This window comes from Homo sapiens, chromosome 5 (genome assembly GCF_000001405.40).
Source record: "Homo sapiens chromosome 5, GRCh38.p14 Primary Assembly".
Classification (NCBI taxonomy): domain Eukaryota; kingdom Metazoa; phylum Chordata; class Mammalia; order Primates; family Hominidae; genus Homo; species Homo sapiens.
Window position 1 is genome coordinate 94,135,928 of NC_000005.10, and position 22,896 is coordinate 94,158,823.

General features: G+C 36.7%; 1 protein-coding gene and 1 long non-coding RNA gene across 7 annotated transcripts in view; one reads left to right on the forward strand and one right to left on the reverse strand.

The window, feature by feature from the left end:
- The window catches only part of LOC105379087 (uncharacterized), a 140,268-nt gene that overhangs the window by 24,336 nt on the left and 93,036 nt on the right, over window positions 1-22,896 (forward strand). The gene's annotated exons all lie outside the window — the stretch shown is intronic.
- KIAA0825 overlaps window positions 14,924-22,896 on the reverse strand; it is a 467,754-nt gene continuing 459,781 nt past the window's right edge. For all 3 annotated transcript variants that reach the window (NM_001145678.3, NM_001388325.1, NM_001385712.1), the window contains one exon: window positions 14,924-18,197. In NM_001145678.3, the coding sequence (NP_001139150.1) occupies window positions 18,080-18,197 (118 nt within the window). In that variant the 3' untranslated portion in view covers window positions 14,924-18,079. The remainder of the gene's footprint in view (window positions 18,198-22,896) is intronic.

Consider the following 22,896-nt stretch of genomic DNA (forward strand, 5'->3'; position numbering starts at 1 on the left):
TGATTTGGGGTGGAGAGTTCTGTAGATGTCTATTAGGTCCGCTTGGTGCAGAGCTGAGTTCAGGTCCTGGTTATCCTTGTTAACCTTCTGTTTCATTGATCTGTCTAATATTCACAGTGGGGTGTTAAAGTCTCCCATTATTATTGTGTGGGAGTCTAAGTCTCTTTGTAGGTCCCTCCGGACTTGCTTTATGAATCTGGGTGCTTCTGTATTGGATGCGTATATATTTAGGATAGTTGGCTCTTCTTGTTGAACTGATCCCTTTATCATTATGTAATGGCCTTCTTTGTCTCTATTGATCTTTGTTGGTTTAAACTCTGTTTTATCAGAGACCAGGATTGCAACCCCTGCTTTTTTTTGCTTTCCATTTGCTTGGTAGATCTTCCTCCATCCCTTTATTTTGAGCCTATGTGTGTCTCTGCACGTGAGGTGGATCTCCTGAATACAGCAACACTGATGGGTCTTGACTCTATCCAATTTACCAGTCTGTGTCTTTTAATTGGGGCATTTAGCCCATTTACATTTAAGGTTAATATTGATATGTGTGAATTTGATCCTGTCATTATGATGTTAGCTGGTTATTTTGCCCATTAATTGATGCAGTTTCTTCATAGCCTTGATGGTCTTTACAATTTGGCATGTTTTTGCACTGGCTGGTACCAGTTGTTCCTTTCCATGTTTAGTGCTTCCTTCAGGAGCTCTTGTAAGGCAGGCCTGGTGGTGACAAAATCTCTCAGCATTTGCTTGTGTGTGAAGGATTTTATTTCTCCTTTACTTAAGAAGCTTAGTTTGGCTGGATATGAAATTTTGGGTTGAAAATTCTTTTTTTTAAGCATGTTGAATATTGACCCCCCACTCTCTTCTGGCTTGTAGAGTTTCTGCCGAGAGATCTGCTGTTAGTCTGATGGGTTTCCCTTTGTGTGTAACCTGACCTTTCTCCTGGCTGTCCTTAACACTGTTTCCTTCATTTCAACCTTGGTGAATCTGATGATTATGTGTCTTGGGGTTGCTATTCTAGAGGAGTATCTTTGTGGTGTTGTCAGTATTTCCTGAATTTGAATGTTGGCCTGCCTTGATAGGTTGGGGAAGTTCTCCTGGATAATATCCTGAAGAGTGTTTTCCAACTTGTTTCCATTCTCCCCGTCACTTTCAGGGACACCAATCAAATGTAGATTTGGTCTTTTCACATAGTCCCATATTTCTTGGAGGCTTTGTTCATTTCTTTTTAGTCTCTTTTCTCTAAACTTCTCTTCTTGCTTTATTTCATTAATTTGATCTTCAATCACTGATACCCTTTCTTCCATTTGATCAAATTGGCTATTGAAGCTTGTACATGTGTCACAAAGTTCTCATGCCCTGGTTTTCAGCTCCATCAGTTCATTTAAGGTCTTCTCTACACTGTCTATTCTAGTTAGCCATTCGTCTAATCTTTTTTCAAGGTTTTTAGCTTCCTTGCAATGGGTTTGATCATGCCCCTTTAGCTCAGAGAAGTTTGTTTTTACCAACCTTCTGAAGCCTACTTCTGTCAACTCGTCAAAGTCATTCTCCGTCCAGCTTTGTTCTGTTGCAGGCAAGGAGCTGTGATCCTTTGGAGGAGAAGGGGTGCTTGGCTTTTAGAATTTTCAGCTTTTCTGCTCTGGTTTCCCCCCATCTTTGTGGTTTTATCTACCTTTAGTCTTTGATGTTGGTGACCTACAGATGGGGTTTTGGTGTGGATGTCCTTTTTGTTGATGTTGATGCTATTCCCTTCTGTTTGTTAGTTTTCCTTCTAACAGTCAGGTCCCTCAGCTGCAGGTCTGTTGGAGGTCCACTCCAGACCCTTTTTGCCTGGATATCACCAGTGGAGGCTGCAGAACAGCAAATATTGCTGCCTGATCCTTCCTCAGGAAGCATCATCCCAGAGGGGCACCTGCCTGTATGAGGTGTCTGTCGGCCCCTCCTGGGAGGTGTCTCCCAGTTAGGCTACATGGGGGTCAGGGACCCACTTGAGGAGGCAGTCTGTCTGTTCTCAGAGCTCAAACACCATGCTGGGGGAACCACTGCTCTCTTCAGAGCTGTCAGACGGGGACGTTTAAGTCTGCAGAATTTTCTGCTGCCTTTTGTTCAGCTATGCCCTGTCCCCAGAGGCGGAGTCTACAGGGACAGTAGGCCTTGCTGAGCTGCAGTGGGCTCTGCCCAGTTCAAGCTTCCTGGCCACTTTGTTTACCTACTTAAGCCTCAGCAATAGTGGATGCCCCTCCCCCAGCCAGACTGCTACCTTGCAGGTCTATCTCAGACTGCTGCACTAGCAGTGAGCAAGGCTCCATGGGCATGGGACCCACCGAGCCAGGCACGGGATAGAATCTTCTGGTCTTCTGGTTCCTAAGACTGTTGGAAAAGTGCAGTATTTGGGTGGAAGTGTCCCATTTTTCCAGGTACAGTCTGTTGTGGCTTCCCTTGGCTAGGAAAGGGAAATTCCCCAACCCCTTGTGCTTTCTGGGTGAGGCAATGCCCCGCCCTGCTTTGGCTTACCCTCCGTGAGCTGCACCCACTGTCCAACCAGTCCCAATGAGATGAAACAGTTACCTCAGTTGGAAATGCAGAAATCACCTGTCTTCTGCATTGATCATGCTGGGAGCTGCAGACCAGAGCTCTTCCTATTCGGCTGTCTTGGAGCCATGAATAAGTTCTTTTGTGGTGATTTCTGAGGTTTTAGTGCACCCATCACCCAAACAGTGTACACTGTACCCAATGTGTTGTCTTTTATCCCTCACCCCCTGCCCACTCTTTTCCCTGAGTCCCCAAATTCCATTGTATGATTCTTAGGCCTTGATGTCCTCATAGCTTAGCTCCCACTTATGAGTGAGAACATCAATGTTTGGTTTTCCATTCCTCAGTTATGTCACTTAGAATAATCATCTCCAATTCCATCCAGGTTGCTGTAAATGCCATTATTTCATTCCTTTTTATGGCTGAGTAGTATTTCATGGCATATATATACCACATTTTCTTTATCCTCTTGTTGATTGGTGGGCATTTCGGCTGGTTTTATATTTTTGCAATTGTGAATTGTGCTGCTATAAACATGCATGTCCAAGCATGTTTTTCATGGAATGACTTCTTTTCTTCTGGATAGATACCCAGGAGTAGGATTGCTGGATCAAATGGTAGAGCTACTTTTAGTTCTCTAAGGAATCTCCACACTGTTTTCCATAGTCGCTGTACTAGTTTACATTCCTATCAACAATGTAAAAGTGTTCCCTTTCACCACATCCACTCCAACATCTATTATTATTTGATTTTTTGATTATGGTCATTCTTGCAATAGTAAGGTGATATTGCATTGTAGTTTTGATTTGCATTTCCCTGATCATTAGCGATGTTGAGCATTTTCTCATATGTTTGTTGGCCATTTGTGTATCTTCTTTTGAGAATTGTCTATTCATGTCCTCAGCCCACTTTTTGATGGGATTGTTTGTTTTGTTCTTGCTGATTTGTTTGAGTTATTTGTAGATTCTAGATATTAGTCCTTTGTCAGACATATAGATTGCAAAGATTCTCTCCCACTCTGTGGGTTCTCTGTTTGCACTGCTGATTATTTCTTTTGCTGTGTAGAAGCTTTTTCGTTTAATTAAATCCCATCTATTTATCTTTGTTTTTGTTGTTGCATTTGCTTTTGAGTTCTTGGTCATGAAGTCTTTGCCTAAGCCAATCTCTAGAAGAGTTTTTCTGAGGTTAACTTCTATAGTTTTTATGGTTTCTGGTCTTAGATTTAAGTCTCTGGTCCACCTTAAGTTGATTTTTGTATAAGGTGAGAGGTGAGGATCCAGTTTCTTTCTTCTACATGTGGCTTGCCAATTATCTCAGCACCATTTGTTGAATAGGATGTACTTTCCCCACTTCATGTTTTTGTTTGCTTTGTTGAAAACCAGTTGGCTCTAAGTATTCGGCTTTATTTCTGGTTTCTCTATTTTGTTCCATTGGTCTATGTGCCTATTTTTATACCAGTACCATGCTGTTTCGGTGACTACACTCTTACAGTATAGTTCAAAGTCAGGTAATGGGATGACTCCAAATTTGTTCTTTTTGCTTAGCCTCACTTTGGCTATGCAGGCTCTTTTTGGTTCCATATGAATTTTAGGATTTTTTTTTCTAGTTCTGTGAAGAATGATGGTGGTATTTTGATGGGAATTGAACTGAATTTGTAGATTGCTTTTGGCAGTATGGTCATTTTTACAATATTGATTCTGCTCATCCATGAGCATGGGATGGGATGTGTTTCCATTTGTTTGTGTTGTCTATGATTTATTTCAGCAGTGTTTTGTAGTTTTCCTCGTGGAGGTCTTTCACATCCTTGGTTAGGTATAGTCCTAAGTATTTTGGGTTTTTTTTGCAGCTGTTGTAAAAGGAGTTGAGCTCTTCTTTTGATTCTCAGCTTCATTGCTGTTAATTTATAGCAGATCTACTGATTTGTGTACATTAATTTTGTATCTGGAAATTTTGCTGAATTCATTTACCAGTCCTAGTAGCTTTTTGGATGAGTCTTTAGGGTTTTCTAGTTATACAATCATGTCATCAGCAAACAGAGACAGTTTCACTTCCTTTTTACCAATTTGGATGCCCAGTATTTATTTTTCTTCCCTGATTGCTCTGGCAAGGACTTCCAGTACTATGTTGAATAGAAGTGGTGGAAGTGGGCATCCTTGTCTTGTTCAAATTCTCCGACGGAACACTTTGAGCTTTTCCCCATTCAGTATAATGTTGGCTGCATGTTTGTCATAGATACCTTTTAGTACCTTAGGGTATGTCCCTTCTATGCTGATTTTTCTGAGGGTTTTAATCATAAAGGGATGCTGGATTTTGTCAAATGCTTTTTCAGCATCTATTGAGATGATCATGTGATTTTTGTTTTAAATTCTGTTTATGCAGTGTATCATGTTTATTGACTTGTGTATGTTAAACTAACCCTGTATCCCTGGTATGAAACCCACTCGATCATGGTAGATTATCTTTTTAATATGCTGTTGGATTTGGTTAGCTAGTATTTTGTTTAGGATTTTTGCATCTATGTTCATCAGGGATATTGGTCTGTACTTTTCTTTTTTTGTTATGTTCTTTCCTGGTTTTGGTATTAGGGCAATACTGACTTCATAGAATCATTTAAGGAAGATTCCCTCTTTCTCTATCTTATGGAATAGTGTCAATAAGATTGGTACCAATTCTTCTTTGAATGTCTGATAGAATTCAGCTGTGACTCTGTCTGGTCCTGGACATTTTTTTGGTTGGCAGATTTTTTATTACCATTTCAATCTCACTGCTTGTTGTTGGTATGTTTCTGTTTCTTCCTGATTTAATCTAGGAGGGATGTATATTTCCAGGAATTTATCCATCTCCTCTAGGTTTTCTACTTTATGCACATAAAGGTGTTCAGAGTATCCTTGAATGATCTTTTATATTTCTGTAGTATTGGTTGTAATGTCTCCCATTTCATTTCTAATTGACTTTATTTGGATCTTTTTGCTTCTTTTCTTGGTTAATCTGACTAATGGTCTACCAATTTTATTTATCTTTTCAAAGGGCCAGCTTTTTCTTTCATTTATCTATTGTATCTTTTTTTATTTGTTTCAATTTCATTTAGTTCTGCTCTGATGTTTGTTATTTCTTTTCTTCTTCTGGGTTTGAGTTGGGTTTGTTCTTGTTTCTCTGTTTCCTTGAGGTGTGACCTTAGATTGTCTATTTGTGCTCTTTCAGACTTCTTGATGTAGGCATTTAATGCTATGAACTTTCCTCTTAGCACCACTTTTGCTTTATCCCAGAGGTTTTGATAAGTTGTGCCACCATTATTGTTCAGCTCAAAGAACTTTTTAATTTCCATCTTGATATCTTTGTTGACCCAGTGATCATTCAGGAGCAGGTTATTTAATTTCCATGTACTTGCATGGTTTTAAAGGTTTCTTTTGGAGTTGATTTTCAATTTTATTCCACTGTGGTCTGAGAGAGTACTTGATATAACCTATTTTCTTAAATTTGTTGAGACTTGTTTTGTGGCCTATCATATGGTCTATTTTAGAGAATGTTCCATGTGCCAATGAATAGAATGTGTATTCTGCAGTTGTTGGGTAGAATGTTCTGTAAATATCTGTTAAGTCCATTTGTTCTAGGGTATAGTTTAAGTCCATTATTTCTTTGTTGACTTTCTGTCCTGAGGACCTGTCTAGTGCTCTCAGTGGTGTATTAAGTCCCTCTCTATTATTGTGTTGCTGTCTATCTAATTTCTTAGGTCTAGTGGTAATTGTTTGATAAAGTTGGGAGCTCCAGTGTTAGGTGCGTATATATTTAGGATTGTGATATTTTCCTGTTGGACTAGTCCTTTTATCATTATATAATGTCCCTCTTTGACTTTTTTTTTTTAACTCCTTTTGCTTTAAAGTTTGTTTTTTCTGATATAAGAATAGCTACTCCTGCTCTTTTTTGGTGTCAATTTGCATGGAATATCTTTTTCCATCTCTTTACATTAAGTTTATGTGAGTCCTTATGTGTCTGGTGAGTTTCTTAAAGACACCAGATACTTGGTTTGTGAGTTCTTATCCATTCTGCCATTTTGTATCTTTTAAGTGGAGCATTTAGGCCATTTACATTTAATGTTAATATTGAGATGCAAGGTACTATTCTATTCATCGTGCTATTATAACTGATGTGGAATATACTGGTTTTATAGTTTTCTATTAAAATTCAGGTGCTTTCTGGCATCACATTAGCAATGTTTGTCAGTGGTGGGTCTATGTACACGTTCTTTTAATTTGTGGTAAAAACATGTAACATAATATTTACCAACTTAACCTTTTTTTTACATTTATAATATTAAATGTATTTGTTTAGATACAACTATCCACTCACATACATTAGGGGAGTATATACATTACTTTTTTCACTTTCAAGTTTTCAAACATTATTTTTACTTAAATTCTGCAACAACTTTTTTATTTTAATATTGATACATAATATTTTACATATTCATGGGGTACATGTCATATTTTGTTACATGGATAGAACATGTAAGGATCAAGTCAGGGTATTTGGAGTTTCCATCACCTTGAGTATTTGTAATTTCTATGTGTTGGAAACAATTCATATCCTCTCTTCTAGCTATTCTGAAGTATACAATACATTGTTGCTAACTATACTCACCTTACTGTGCTATCCAACTTTAGAACGTATACCTTCTACCTAACTGTGTGTAAGGATTCACCAACTTCTCTTCATTCCCTCTTCCTGCCCACATACCCTTCCCAGTCTCTGTTATCACTCTACTCTCTACCTCCATGATATCAACTTTTTAAGCTCCCACATGTGAGTGAGAACATGCACTATTTGTATTTCTGTGCCTATCTTATTCCACTTAACACAAAATTTCCAGTTCTATCCATGTTGATGCAATTGACAAGATTTCATTCTTTTTTTATGGGCCAATAGTATTCCATTGTGTATATATACCATATTTTCTTATGGCCAAATAGAATTCCATTGTGTATATATATCACATTTTTTCCATTCATCTATTGATGGAAACTTAGGTAATTCCATATATTTGCTATTATAAATAATGATGTAATAAACATACAATGCAGGTATCCTTTAGATATACTGATTTCATTTCCTTTGGATGAATACCCAGTAGTGGGACTGCTGGATCATAAAGTAGTTCTATTTTTAGGATTTTGAGAAATCTCCATACTATTTTCCATAGAGGTTGTACTAATTTACATTCTCACCAACATGTATAAGAGTTCTCTTTTCACAGGAACCATGTGTTACTAGTCTTGGGGTGCTCCTCAAAGCAGATACAACCTGGATGACAATGCCCAAGTCCTTTCAAAAGTCTGGAGAGCTTTCCAATAAGGACATGTTCAAACAAGCCCAGACAGTGAAGACTACAATAAATACCTAGCTCTTCAATGCCCAGACACAAAAGAACATCTACTAGCATTAACAACATCCAGGAAAACATGACCTCACCAAATGAACCAAGTAAGGCACCAGGGACCAATCCTGGAGAAACAGAGATATGTGAACTTTCAGACAGAGAATTCAAAATAGCCATGTTGAGGAAACTCGAAGAAATTCAAGATAGCACAGAGCAGGAATTCTGAATTCTATCAGATAAATTTAACAAAGAGATTGAAATAATTTCAAAGAATCAAGCAGAAATTTTGGAGCCAAAAAAAATTCAATTGGCATACTGGAGAGTCCTTTAATAGCAGAACTGATCCAGCAGAAAAAAGAATTAGTGAGCTTGAAGACAAGCCATTTGAAAAGACACAGTCAAAGCAGACAAAAATAAAAAGAATAAAAAACAACAAAGCATGCCTTATAGGATCTAGAAAATGGTCTCAAAGGGGCAAATCTACGAGTTATTAGCCTTGAAGAAGAGGTAGAGAAAGAGATAGGGGAAGAAAGTTTGTTGAAAGAGATAACAGAGAACTTCCCAAACCTAGAGAAAGATATCAATATCCAAGTACAAGAAGGTTATAGAACACCAAGCAGATTTAATCCAAAGAAGACTACCTCAAAGCATTTAATAATAAAACTTCCAAAGGTCAAACATAAAGAAATGATCCTAAAAGCAGCAAGAGAAAAGGAACAAATAACCTACAATGGAGTTCCAAAATGTCTGGCAGCAGAGTTTTCCATGGAAACCTTACAGGCCAGGAGAGAGTGGCATGACATATTTATCATGTTGAAGGCAAAAACTCTTTTACCTTAGAATAGTGTATCTGGCAAAAATATCCTTCAAACATGAAGGAGATATAAGGACTTTCCCAAAAAAACAAAAGCTGAGGAATTTCATCAACACCAGACCTGTCCTACAGGAAATGCTAAAGGGAGTACTTCAATCAAAAAAAGAAAAGGTAATTAATGAGCAATATGAAATTACCTGAATATACAAAACTCACTGGTAATAGTAAGTACGCAGAAATGTACTTGGAATATTATAACACTGTAACTGTGGTGTATAAATAACTCTTATCCTAAGTAGAAAGGCTAAACAATGAACCAATCAAAAATAGTAACTACATTAACTTTTCAAGACATGAGTAGCACATAAATAGAAATAAGAAAAGGTTAAAAAGCAGGGGGATGAAGTTAAGGCATAGAGTTCTTATTAGAGTTCTTCTTGCTTGTTTCTTTATGCAAACAGTGTTAAGTTGTTATCATGTTAAAACAATGGGTTATAAGACAGTATTTGTAAGCCTCATGGTAATCTTAAACCAAAAAACATACAATGGGCACACAAAAAATAAAAACCAACAAACTTTACAATATTACCAGAGAAAATCACCTTCACTAAAGGAAGACAGGAAGGAAAGAAAGAAGGAAGAGAAGACCACAAGACAACAAGAAAACAAATAACAAAAAGGTAAGAGTAAGTTCCTACTTACCAATAATAACATTAAATATAAATGGACTAAACTCTTCAATCAAAAGACATAGAGTGGGTGAATGGATGAAAAAACAAGACCCATTAATCTGTTGCCTACAAGAAATACACATCACTTATAAATACATACATAGACTGAAAATAAAGGGAGGGAAAAAGATATTCCATGCAAATGGAAACCAAAAAAGAGCAGGAGTAGCTATACTTATATTAGACAAAATAGATTTCAGACAAAAACTATAAGAAGAGACAAAGAAAGTCACGATATAATGATAAAGAGATCAATTCAGTAAGAGGCTAGAATAGTTTTAAATATACATGCACCTGATACTGGAGCACCCACATATATAAAGCAAATATTTTTGGAGCTAAAGAGAGAGCTAGGCCTCAATACAGTAAGAGGTGGAAACTTCAACAACTCATTTTCAGCATTGGACAGATCTTCCAGACAGAAAATCATCAAAGAAACATTGGACTTAATGTGCACTATAGACCAAATGAATCTAATAGATATTTATAGAATATTTTATCCAGTGGCTGCAGAATACACATTGTTTTCCTCAGCACATGGATCATTCTCAAGGATAGACCATATGTTAGGTTTCAGACAAAACAAGTTTAAAACATTCAAATAAATTGAAATAATATTAAGCATCTTATCTGACTACAATGGAATAAAACTAGAAATTAATAAGAGGAATTTTCGGTGGCTCACGCCTGTAATCTCAGCACTTTGGGAGGCTTAGGTGGGTGGATCACCTGAGATCAGGAGTTCAAGACCAGCCTGGCCAATATGGTGAAATCCCATCTCTACAAAAATATAAAAATTAGCTGGGCATGATGGCGGATGCCTGTAATCCCAGCTACTCGGGAGGGTGAGGCTGGAGAATTGCTTGAACCTGGAAGATAGACATTGCAGTGAGCCGAGATGGTGCCATTGCACTCCAGCCTGGGTGAGAGGGCAAGACTCCATCTCAAAAAAAGAGGAATTTTGGAAACTATACAAATACATGAAAATTAAACAATATGCTCCTGAGTTACTAGTGGGTCAATGAAAAAATTAAGAAGGAAATTGAAAAATTTCTTGAAACATATGATAATGGAAACACAACCTACCAAAACCTATAGGATATAGCAAAAGCAGTACTAAAAGGGAATTTTATAGGTATAAGTGTCTCCATCAAAAAAAAAAGAGGAAAAACTTCAAATAAACAACCTAATGATGAATCTTAAAGAAAAGCAGGAGCAAACCAAACCCAAAATTGGTAGAAGAAAAGAAATAAGAAAGATCAGAGCAGAAATGAATGAAACTGAAATGAAAAAAGGAATACAAAAGATCAATAAAATAAAAAATTCCTTTTTTGAAAAGCTATCAAAATTGACAAACCTTTAGGCAGACTAAGAAAAAAAAGAGAGAAGATACAAATAAAATCAGAAAAGAAAAAGATGATATTACAACTGATACTGCAGAAATTCAAAGGATCATTAGTGGCTACTATGAGCAAATATATGCAAATGAATTGGAAAATCTAAATGGTCAAGTTCCCAGACACTACAACCTACCAAGACTGAACCAGGAAGAAATCTAAAACCTGAACAGATCAATAACAAATAATGAGATTGAAGCCTTAATTAAAAGTCTCTCAGTAAAGAAAAGCCTGGGATCCAATGGCTTCACTGCTGAATTTTACCAAACATTAAAGAAGAACTAATATCAACCCTTCTCAAATTATTCTGAAAACTACAGGAGGAGGAAATAGTTCCAAACCCATTCTATGAGACTGGTATTACCCTAATACCAAAACCAAATACCAAAACTATACCTCAACATAGTAATAGCCATATATGACAGACCCACAGCTAGTAATCATACTGAATGGGGAAAACTGAAAGCCTTTCCTCTAAGATCTAGAACATGACAAAGATGCCCACATTCAGTACTGTTATTTAACATAGTACTGGAAGTGCTAGCTAGAGAAATCAGACAAGAGAAAGATGTAAAGGGCATCCAAATTGGAAAGGAGGAAGTCAAATTATCCTTGTTTGCTGATTATATTATCTTATATTTGAAAAACCCTAAAGACTCCACCAAAAAACCTATTAGAACTGATAAATTCAGTAAAGTTGGAGGATACAAAAGCAACATACAAAAATCAGTAGAATTTCTATATGCCAACAGCGAACAATCTGAAAAAGAAATCCAAAAAGTAATCCCATTTACAATAGCCACACATAAAATTAAATACCTAGGAGTTTAACATAACCAAAGAAGTTAAAGATCTCTACTATGAACATTATAAAACATGGATGCAAGAAACTGAAAAGGACACAAAATAATGGAAAGATATTATATGTTCATGGATTGAAAGAATCAATATTGTTAAAATGTCCATAGTACCCAAAGCAATCTACAAGTTCGATGGAATCCCTATCAAAATACCAATGGCATTCTTCACAGAAATAGAAAAAAGAATCATGAAATTCATATGGAACCACAAAAGTCCCAGAATAGCCAAACCTATCTTAAGCAAAAAGAACAAAACTGAAGGAATCACATTACCTGACTTCAAATTATACTAGAGTTATAGTAACTCAAACAGCAGTGGTACTGGCATAAAAATAGACACACAGGCCAATAAACAGATTAGAGAACCCAGAAACAAATCCACACACCTACAGTGAACTTATTTTTGACAAAGATGCCAAGAACACATTGGGGAAAAGATAGTCTTTTCAATAAATGCTACTGGGAAAACTGGCTATCCATATGCAGAAGAATGAAACTAGACCCCCGTCTCTCACCATATGCAAAAATAAAATCAAAATTGATTTAAGATTCAAATCTAAGACCTCAAACTATGAAACTACTACAGGAAACTCTCCAGGACATTAGAGAAACTCTCTGGGACATTGCACTGGGAAAAGATTTCTTGAGTAATACCCCATAAGTACAGGCAACCTAAGCAAAAATTGACAAACGGGATCAAAACAAGTTAAAAAGCTTCTGCACAGCAAAGGATACAACTAACAAAGCAAAGAGACAATCCACAGAATGGTAGAAAATATTTGCAAACTACCCATCTCACAAGGAATTAATAACCAGAATATATAAGGAGCCCAAACAATTCTGTAGGAAAAAATTTAATAATCCAATAAAAAATGGGAAAATATTTGAATAGAAATTTCTCAAAAGAAGACATACAACTGGCAAACAGGCATATGAAAAGGTGCTCAACATTATTGATCATCAGAGAAATACAAATCAAAACTACAATGAGATATCATCTCACCCCAGTTAAAATGGCTTATATCAAAAAAAAAAAAAGAGAAAATAAACAGGCAATAACAAATGCTGGCGAGGATGTGGAGAAGAGGGAACTCTCATACACTGCTGGTGGGAATGTAAATTAGTACAACCTCTATGGAGAACAGTTTGGACATTCCTCAAAAAACTAAAAATCGAGCTATCATATGATCCAGCAATTCCACTATTGGGTATATATCCAAAAGAGATGAACTCAGTCTATCGAAGAGGTATTTGCACTTCATGTTTGTTGCAGCATTATTCACAATAGCTAAGATTTGGCAGCAACCTAAGTGTTCATCAACAGACAAACGGATAAAGGAAATATGGTACGTATATGCAATGGAGTACTATTTAGCCGTAAAAAGAATGAGATTCTATCATTTGCAACAACATGGATGGAACTCGAGATCATTATGGTAAGTGAAATAATCCGGGCACAGAAAGACAAACATTACATGTTCTCACTTATTTGTGGAATCTAAAAATCAAAACAATTGAACGCATAAACATAGAGAATAGAAGGACAGTTACTAGAGGCTGGGAAGGGTTGTGGGGATTAGGGGTACATGTGGATGGTTAATGGGTACAAAAGAAATAGCAAGAATGGATAAGGCCTACTATTTGATAGCACAACAGGGTGACTATAGTCAATAATAACTTAATTGTACGTTTTAAAAATAACTAAAATGACGTAATTGGATTATTTGCAATACAAATGATAAAAGCTGGAGGGGATGGATACTACATTCTCCATTATGTGATTATTGTGCATTGCATGCCTATATCAAAACATCTCATGTATCCCATAAATATATATGCCTACTATGTACCCACAAAATTAATAAAATAAACTAATAAGCCAAAAAATGTTCCCCTTTCCCCACATTCTTGCCAACATCTCGTTTTTCATCTTTTTAATAATAGTCATTATAACTGGGGTAAGACGATATCTCATTGTGGTTTTGATTTGCATTTCCCTGATGATTAGTGATGTTGAGCATGTTTTCACATACCTGTTGGCCATTTGTATGTCTTCTTTTGAGAAATGTCTATTGATGTTCGCCCAATTTTTGATAGGATTATTTTTAATTAATTTATTAATTTATTAATTTTTTTTGAGATGGAGTCTTGCTCTGTCACCCAGGCTGGAATGCAGTGGTGCAATCTCGGCTCACTGCAACCTCTGCATCCCGGGTTCAAGCGATTTTCCTGCCTCAGCCTCCTGAGTATCTGGGATTACAGGCATGCGCCACCATGCCTGGCTAATTTTGGTCCCCAAGCATCTCCCTATGTTGGTTTTAGGGCCCACGTGGGTCAAAGGACTCTCCCTTGGCTTGGTTTGCAGTAGCCTGTGGTGGGAATGTGCACTGCTAGAGGTCTCTCACCCTTTTCCCAACCAGGAAGTCTCTCTGGGCTTCCAGTCAATCCTGGCTGAGCAGGCTGCCTCACTTCTCTCTCCTTCCTTATTCTAATGTTTCCTGACACTTCTCTGTTGAATTCCAGTATTCTCTCTTAGATCATTTATTTGAAGTGTGGTTATCTACTCGCTATGTTTGTTCTTCTTTGTGGAAGAGGTGAGTAGCAAAGTAGCTAGTCAGCCATCTTGAAGCTGCTTTCTCAGCAATCTCTCCCAACCATGTTGAAGTATACAGTTTAGGGGTATTCACATTCTTGTGAAACAGATCTCCAGAACTTTGTCATCTTATAAATCTGAAACTCTATACCCTTTGAACAACCATTCCCCTTTTCCTCCTCCCCCACCCCCTGGTAACCGCCAATCTAATTTCTGCTTCTCTGCATTTGACTACTTTAGATACCTCATGTAAGCGGAATCGCACGTTATTTGTCTTTTAGGGACTGGCTTATTTAACTTAGCATAATGTGATCAAGGTTCATCCATGTCGCAGCATATGACAGAAATTCATTTCTTTTTAAGGCTGAATACAGCTGTTTTCTTTTCCATGAAACATTTCAATTATAAAGGGAGGTATTAAAAAATCTTAAATTTTTTTTACAGTAACGAATGATAATTATGAACTACCTGAAACTTTCTTTGACCCAGGTATATATAAACTGGGGTAATAGGACATTATGAGTAGGCACATCTTGTTAAACAAAACAAGTGATTTCTTTTTTCCATTCTTTGGTTAGTAGTTCTATAATAGTGTTTGGTAGAGATGACAAAAATATAAAATATCTGAAATAGACAATATTCTTTATAATTTATTTAAAAATTATTTCATACTGTTTTCACATAGTAACTGCTAAACCAATAATAAAATAGATATCTCTATATAATTACATAAAAATACAATTAAGCAGAACACAGAAGGAAGATCATACTTTATAGGAAGATAATATTTTTGTAATAAGCATATGGGGAGATATAAACTGTTAGGCTTCATTCCTGTTGTTAACTCACACAAATGTGAGAAACAAAAACTGCTTTGAAATACCACTTCTTATTATACTTAAAAAAACATGGCCGGGCGCGGTGGCTCACGCCTGTAATCCCAGCACTTTGGGAGGCCGAGGCGGGTGGATCATGAGGTCAGGAGATCGAGACCATCCTGGCTAACAAGGTGAAACCCCGTCTCTACTAAAAATACAAAAAAGTAGCCGGGCGCGGTGGCGGGCGCCTGTAGTCCCAGCTACTCGGGAGGCTGAGGCAGGAGAATGGCGTGAACCCGGGAAGCGGAGCTTGCAGTGAGCCGAGATTGCGCCACTGCAGTCCGCAGTCCGGCCTGGGCGACAGAGCGAGACTCCGTCTCAAAAAAAAAAAAAAAAAAAAAAAAAAAACATATTGAGTATAAAGTCAAAATAATCTGATAAATCAATGACTTGTCACCTAATACTCTCAATTATAAACTTTATTGCACTTATGGCTATAATAATTTCACTGAACAAGCACAGAATAGAATTCAACTGCAAGGCCTCTTTCTCTCCTACTTTTATCTTCCTTTAAACTCATCCCATTTTCCCCTTACTATACTTCCTTTCTTTCAAAAGGGAGCCACAGAAAAGATTTTTTCTGGAGGAGCAAAATTACTTCCCAGGATTAATACAGGAATATACGAATTCAATAATAATAGCTTTAAAAGATGACGTTTAGATATATTAGAAGACAATCCAAATGTGAAATCCTGTAATTTTATAAGATGTTGTATCTAGTTTATTGGATTAATTTATTTTTAACTTTCCATTTTTGCATCTTGTCTAATGAAGCACAGTTATGCAGATTTAGTACACAGACCACCACTTAGCTGAAGGAATAAAGTCAACTGTTGCCTTATGTTGATTGTTATAGTAACCTGTTTAAAGATCAGATTAGATGGAATGTCCAGTTCTCATAAAATTTTCCTACCATTTTCTAAATGGTCTTCATAGAATTTTTAGAAATTACTTCAACCAAATCTTAAAAACACTTGGTTTATGATTATACTGGCCAACTAAAGTACATTTTTTAAAAATAAAATGTGTTATTTGGCAGGCAGCTGTCTACATGGCCATTTATGTATTTTTATTTAAAGAAAAAATGTAAGAGATTTCCTAATGTGGCCTCCTCTGCACCCCAAGCTTTTACTCTTTGAAAAATGCATGAGTACTTTCCTTTGGAAATCATGTAGCCTACACATATTTTATAAAAATCACAGAATGTGGGAGTATGGACAATTTATTATATATCTGAGAACATCAGAAAACATGAAGTTTGATGTCATATGGTCTAAAATAGCCCATGATGTAAGGCTTCTGGGCCTGGTGTGGTGGCTTATGCCTATAGTTCCAGGGCTTTGAGAGACAGAGAGGGGAAGATCACTTGAGGTAGGGAGTTCAAGTCCAGCCTGGGCAACATAGTGAGACCCCATCTCTACAAAAACATTTTAAAAATTAACCAGGTGTGGTGGCACACAACTGTAGTTCTAGCTAGGTGGGAGAATCACTTGAGACAAGGAGTTCAAGTCCAGCCTGGGCAACATAGTGAGACCTCATCTTTACAAAAAAATTAAAAAAAATTAACCAGGTGTGGTGGCATGCACCTGTAGTTCTAGCTACTCAGGAGGCTGAGGTGGGAGTATTGCTTGAGCCTATGAGTTTGAGGTTACATTGAACTATGATCATGCCACTGCACTACATTCCAGGCAACAGAGCAAGACCCTGTTTCTAAAATGAAAAAAAAAAAAAAAAAAAAAAAAAAAAAAAAAATTATATATATATATATATATATATATATATATATATATATATATATATGGTTTCTCCCAGACGTTCTTAGACTGCCCAACCATGCAATTCTCTTTGTTGTCTTTTTCTTTCATTGGCAGCTATTTAATCAATTGTGTTCGTTAACTGTCCACTTGATGAAATAACACTGTAGTAGGCATACAGGGAGTTATAAAGGGAGACTTCATATTATATCATAATATCTTCAATGTCTTTATAATCTAATATCAGGCAGTGATAGGAAGGAAATAATAAATATCTATAATTGTCCTTGGCAGAGAGGGTACTAGAGCATGTTCTGTTTTCTTATTTTGTGTGTGTGTATCAATACAATGAAAAAATTTTAAAGTAACACATTATATGAGCTAATGAGCTTTGGGGTAAAGATTGCTGGAATTAGTTTTGAGCCTAATTTTGGAAGAAAGATGGATTCTGATTGGGAAAACATGGCAAGCATGTGACTTGAACCAAGAGGATGGCAAGCAATTGTCTGAACATGGAGCCATTTGGTATAGGACCTGAATATGTATGAGTAGAAATTTGATTCTGGTTTAGGAGGAAGACTGAAAACCACTACAAGCAGAGGTGTGACTAAAGTTATAGTTCAGGAGAATGCTTTTTTTTGACTATAATTAGATAAATTGAATGAGGAAAGTTGACACAATTGTGGATAGTAAAGGCAATTAAAATTGGGACTTGGGCTACAGCTACAACAAAATTAAATTAAAAATTTCAGATGACCTCCTGGGGCTATGTGACTCCACTCAACTTAACATCCAAATGTTGTATTTAAAAAATCCTTTAAAAAATTTCTGAACATTTCTTCCTGTTGTCATAGATACTTCAAGACTGAAAGGAGAAAAAAATAATTCAAAGGGAACACGAGATGGCAGCAGTTATATCATATAAAGAGAAAGATTGGGGAAAGAAAAACATTTGAAATTATTTTTAAAATAAAAAAATATGTAGCACCTTATCCTTTATGTGCTGTATTCCTTTTCAGTACAGAGATTACTCAGTCATTGGTTTCATGCTTCACAGCACATATGAGGTTCATTCTGACTATGGTAAAAAATCCTACTCCATTACATGGGATTGTTTCCTAAAATAAAGCTGTTGCTGTTTTCTGCAGATTACTGTTCCTCTATGTTATCTGAGGCAGAAGAGTTCTGTGGGGTGCAAATTTGTTTTAAGTGCTCCAGTATTGCTTTTTCTTCCTCTTCTAGTGTTTCATCCTTCTTCATTTCCCACCTAAAAGAAAAATCACATCTTAGCATTTTTGTAACTTTCAAACCACAGGTCAACACTCAGTTAATCAAGTCTTGAATATGTAATCTTGGCTTATTGAGTCATCTGTCTCTCCCTGTTTATTCTTCACTGACTGCCTCTTGGGTAATACAATTCATTGGCACTGCCCCCGCGGAGTGGGCCAGGAGAGTGGGAGACAAAAGTAGAGTGAAATCAGCTCCACTTCAGGATAAAGTTTTTAAAGAATTGTTTCAAATGAGGTTTCTGTATTTCAAGAATGTATGTGGCCTATGAAAATACACATATAAATAAAATCTAGAATTAGCAACTAATAAGCAAATATTTTTCATAGCATTTTTTCCCTCACTGATTAACCAGATTAGTGGTTGTAAGTTGCAGGGAGGCTTGCCAGGAAGCCTTTAGCAGAAAGAAGAACATCGAGGTTACTTGGATATACCTTAAGGGCAGGTCAGTGTATTTCTTGAAATAAGATCAGATTTGAAGCAATCAAGTTCAACCACTCTAGAAAAGTGGCAAATTGTTAGCAAGGTTCCAAAGAACATTTACTAAAAAAAGAGATTAAAGACTTTCTAATTCTGGATGATTAAGCGATACAGAATAAAATCTTAGACTCTCAACCTACATACATACAAATATAATCTTGCAAAGTAAATATCATCACAATAACCCGAGCACACTTACTTCTTCCTTCCTATCCACTCTCTCCACCTCCCCAGGACTGCCCAGGACTGCCCAGAGTATACTGAACCCAGCATTCTAACAGTTTCCTTCTCCTATCCTCACTCTTATTTCTATCCCTACCTAAGCTGTCCACCATAATGTACTGTTACAAAAGGATTTTAAAGCCAGTGCTGATACAGTCTAAAAGATCCTCTGCCATAAAGGCTTCAGCAGGATAGGATTTCTAATAACAAACAAGCAGCTACTCACTGAATGTCCTCCAGAACCAGAACCCCTCATTGTGTTATAATCCAAACTCCCAGACAACAAATAGTCTGTCACACATGAATTTAGGGTGGAATTTTCTGGTTTTGTTTGAGTGATGAAAAGAAAGCAACTGTATTTTCTTTCTTTTTTTTTTTTTTTTTTTTTTGAGACAGGGTCTCCCTCTGTTACCCAGGCTGGAGTGCAGTGGCACAACTATGGCTCACTGCGGGCTTGACCTCTTGAGATCAAGTGATCTTCCTGCCTCAGCCTCCCAAGTAGCTGGGGCTATAGGTGCACACCACCATGCCTGGCCAATTTTTTTAATTTTTTGTAGAGACAGGGTCTCCCCTATGTTGCCCAGGCTCATCTTGACCTCCTGGGCTGAAGTGATCCTCCTGCCTCAGCCTCCCAAAGTGCTGGGAATACAGATGTGAGCCACTAGTATGATATCTGTTCCCATACTAGTTTCCTTTTTGGAGTGCTGAGTTCAGTATGCCCTGGCCAGTCCTGGCAGTCATATATATGAGAGGAAGAAGGAGGGGAAGTATGGAGAGAAGAAAGAGGATTATCTGAAAAGTGACACCTGGTTTCAATTTATATTTCTGCTTCACCCTCTGCCTACGATTCTCCTCATTTCCTAGCCTCAAACTTGTCTGGATCTAAAAACTGCTATTTTTGGCTGCCTTAGTTTCTCCACGTTTCCATATGGTTGAAGTTAGGTCATTGGTCTAACAGGTTTTAATAACAACATGAATGATAAAAAGTTTTTCACTGCCACACTATTCAAAGCCACATCACAAGGGAAGTCAGTATTTTGGGTTTTACAATTTAGCCCACAAGATTTTCTTACACTGCTTTCATGGAATTTTAATGATAAAAAGCTCTCCCTACCCATTTTATGTGGGTGAAATTGGGTATCGCTAATATTCATGTCAAATTGAGCTCCTCCCAAGCAGGAAAATAAATAATGGAAAATACTTTTATATAGCATTAACTAATGGTTAAGCATTCTTTTAAACACTTGAGATATCACTCTTTAAATTCTCAATTTAAAAAGTTATTATTGCTGTTCTACAGATTACTAAACTGAGGTACAGAATGTTAAAATCACTTGCCTGAGTATCTTTGTATTTGAACTCAGAGAGTCAGAATCTGGAATCTGGGCTTTCAAATGCAATTAACAATCGTGGCTTAAAAACCATTTACAGCTAATATAAAGTACTGTCAAAAAGTTTAAATATTTTACTTTCCAAAAAATATTGCCCAAATTGTGCTAGATATTACATAAAAGAACCATCTAAGGATCATATAATCTTAAATCCAAACATGAGAAATTAGATTTGCCTTTTTTCCTTCCCATGTAAAGGTGCTAATATTGTCTGAGTAAATGAATTATTTTATGAATGTCAACAGAATAAAGTACGTGATATGCACATAAATATTTTGATCATTGTGTCTACTTGTGAAAATTGAAAGTAGTCTCTCTGCTTCATTAAAATCTGTATAATTAATGTAATTTAAATGAATCATATACATAATAGAATCCATGATAAGGATTTTTGAAGCTTCATGACAATTATAGGCACTTCACAGTATAATTGAGCTGTTAGTAATTAATGATATTAGGTAAAGTTATTTACCTACCACAACTTTATTATATTTGCTTTGTGCTTATTAAGAAGAAATCATTTCATAAGAGGATAAAAAATGATGACAAAAATGGATGAAAAAATATTAGAACTACATTTTCCTTAATAGTTTTACTCATATTGAATGAAAGCATTAGAGATTTGAAATGTGTATTTATCACAAACATTGTTATATTTCACATCTATAAGTTCTTAACGAAGTTTTTCTTTAATTCCATCATGGTTTTGGGTTTTGTTAACACAATGCAAAAACAACAAGTCAATTCTGTTAAAAAAAAAATACTGAAAGAGAAAAGAATCTACCAATTTGTTAAACATAATTGGATGGACAATCTGTTAAAAATCTTTATTCCTAATTTCCCCTAATATATTTAATATCTGTGGTGGAAAAAGCATATCCCTACAGAAACCAGAAAATGTTGGAAGCAGCATATTCTGGTTCCTCCAGAAAAGCATTATGAGGTAATTATATTTTTGTTTTTCCTAATTTTGGTAGCCTGCCCTTTTGTATTATTGCTGAATTCCCCCACCTGCCTACTATTATAGAAGAATTGCAACCTGGCCCCACAGCTGGTGGCAATGACTATGCTGTGTCTTACACACTGATTAGCAGTCAAGTCTCATGAGACTCCACTGATCTGTACCATGATATTAACTGTCTTCTGGAATTGGCTCCATCTGTATGGCTCCTAGGTGGTTAGATATGGGTCCCTTTTCCTAGGCAAGCACAGTAGGGACTCTAAAGCCTAGACTGAGATACTCTAACAGAATCAGCAGTTACAACTTTGCTCATTTGTACCACTCTGATTGACTTGGTTGTTCTTAGCTTGGATGCATGTTCCTGAATTTACACACATATTCATTCCTCAAGCAGAGATATCTGCCTGCTACTCTGTATATTTTATTAATATTAGCACATATTATAGAGCTTTTCCATGTGCCATACCATGAGCTAAGACCTTTCTGTTTTTGCTCACCGACAATGAGACCTTGAGGTGTGAAAAATAAAAACAGTCACAGATCAGTGAATAACTATTCTAGTGATCAGTTTTATAGAATCTTATATTTGGGGAGGTTTCAAGGATGACTGTGTGTTAGAGTCAACCAGGAGAGCCTCTCTTAGGGACATGCATAGTAAAACATGAGGTATATCCTTGGTAGCATTGGTCCAGGCTGTCACAGAAGCAAATCTTGGGTGGCCTGTACTGCAGGAAGGAGCAGCCAACACCAGACAGATGAGGAGGGCCAGAGTCTGGAGTGTGAGGTGTTTGAGGCATTTACCCTTCCTTTTACTAGGAGAAAAACATTTAAAATATCTGAAATCAATAGTGTTCTGAATAAGAGCACAGGCCCTAGAATCACTCTGCCTTTGTGTTGAATATGAATGTAAACTTCCTAGATGAATCACCCCAGGCAAGTTTTTTAACCCCTTGGTGCTTCGGGGTTCTTTCTCATGTATAAATATGGTCACATTGGAACACAGGCCCCCTTATTTGTTTATGTACTGTCAATGACTGATCTCACTCAATAATGTCAGAGTTTAGTAGTTGCAATCGAGACAGACTAAGACTGCATGTCCTGTAAAGCCTAAAATATTTACTATTTGGACTTTTTTTGGAGGAAGTTTGCCAAATTTGCGCTAGAATGATAGTTCTTAACTGGGGTGACACTGCCTCCGTATGGGGAAACATGGAGGGTATTTTTGGCTGACACTACACTATGTCTAGAGAGTACTTCTCCTAGGACCTAGACAACACAGATGGCAACATGTTTATGTGCAACAATCCCACACAATGAAGAGTTGTCTTCCCAAAATGTCAATATATCCTACTGAGAAACATTGGCTTTAGAATCTCCAAATAATATTGAATAAGAATAGGTATACTAAAATAGGAAGAATCCCTAGCTAATTTCTGATTTTTAATTGAAATAGTTTTAGTCTTTCACTGTTTAGAATACTATTTGCTGCAGAATGAGGGTTTAGAAGTTAGGGTGCTGGATTTAAATCCCTTATAAGCAGTGTGGCCTTGGGCAACCCAGATAAAACAGTGCCTCAGTTTCCTTATCTATGGAATGGTAATAATAATAGTGCCTGCTTCACAGAG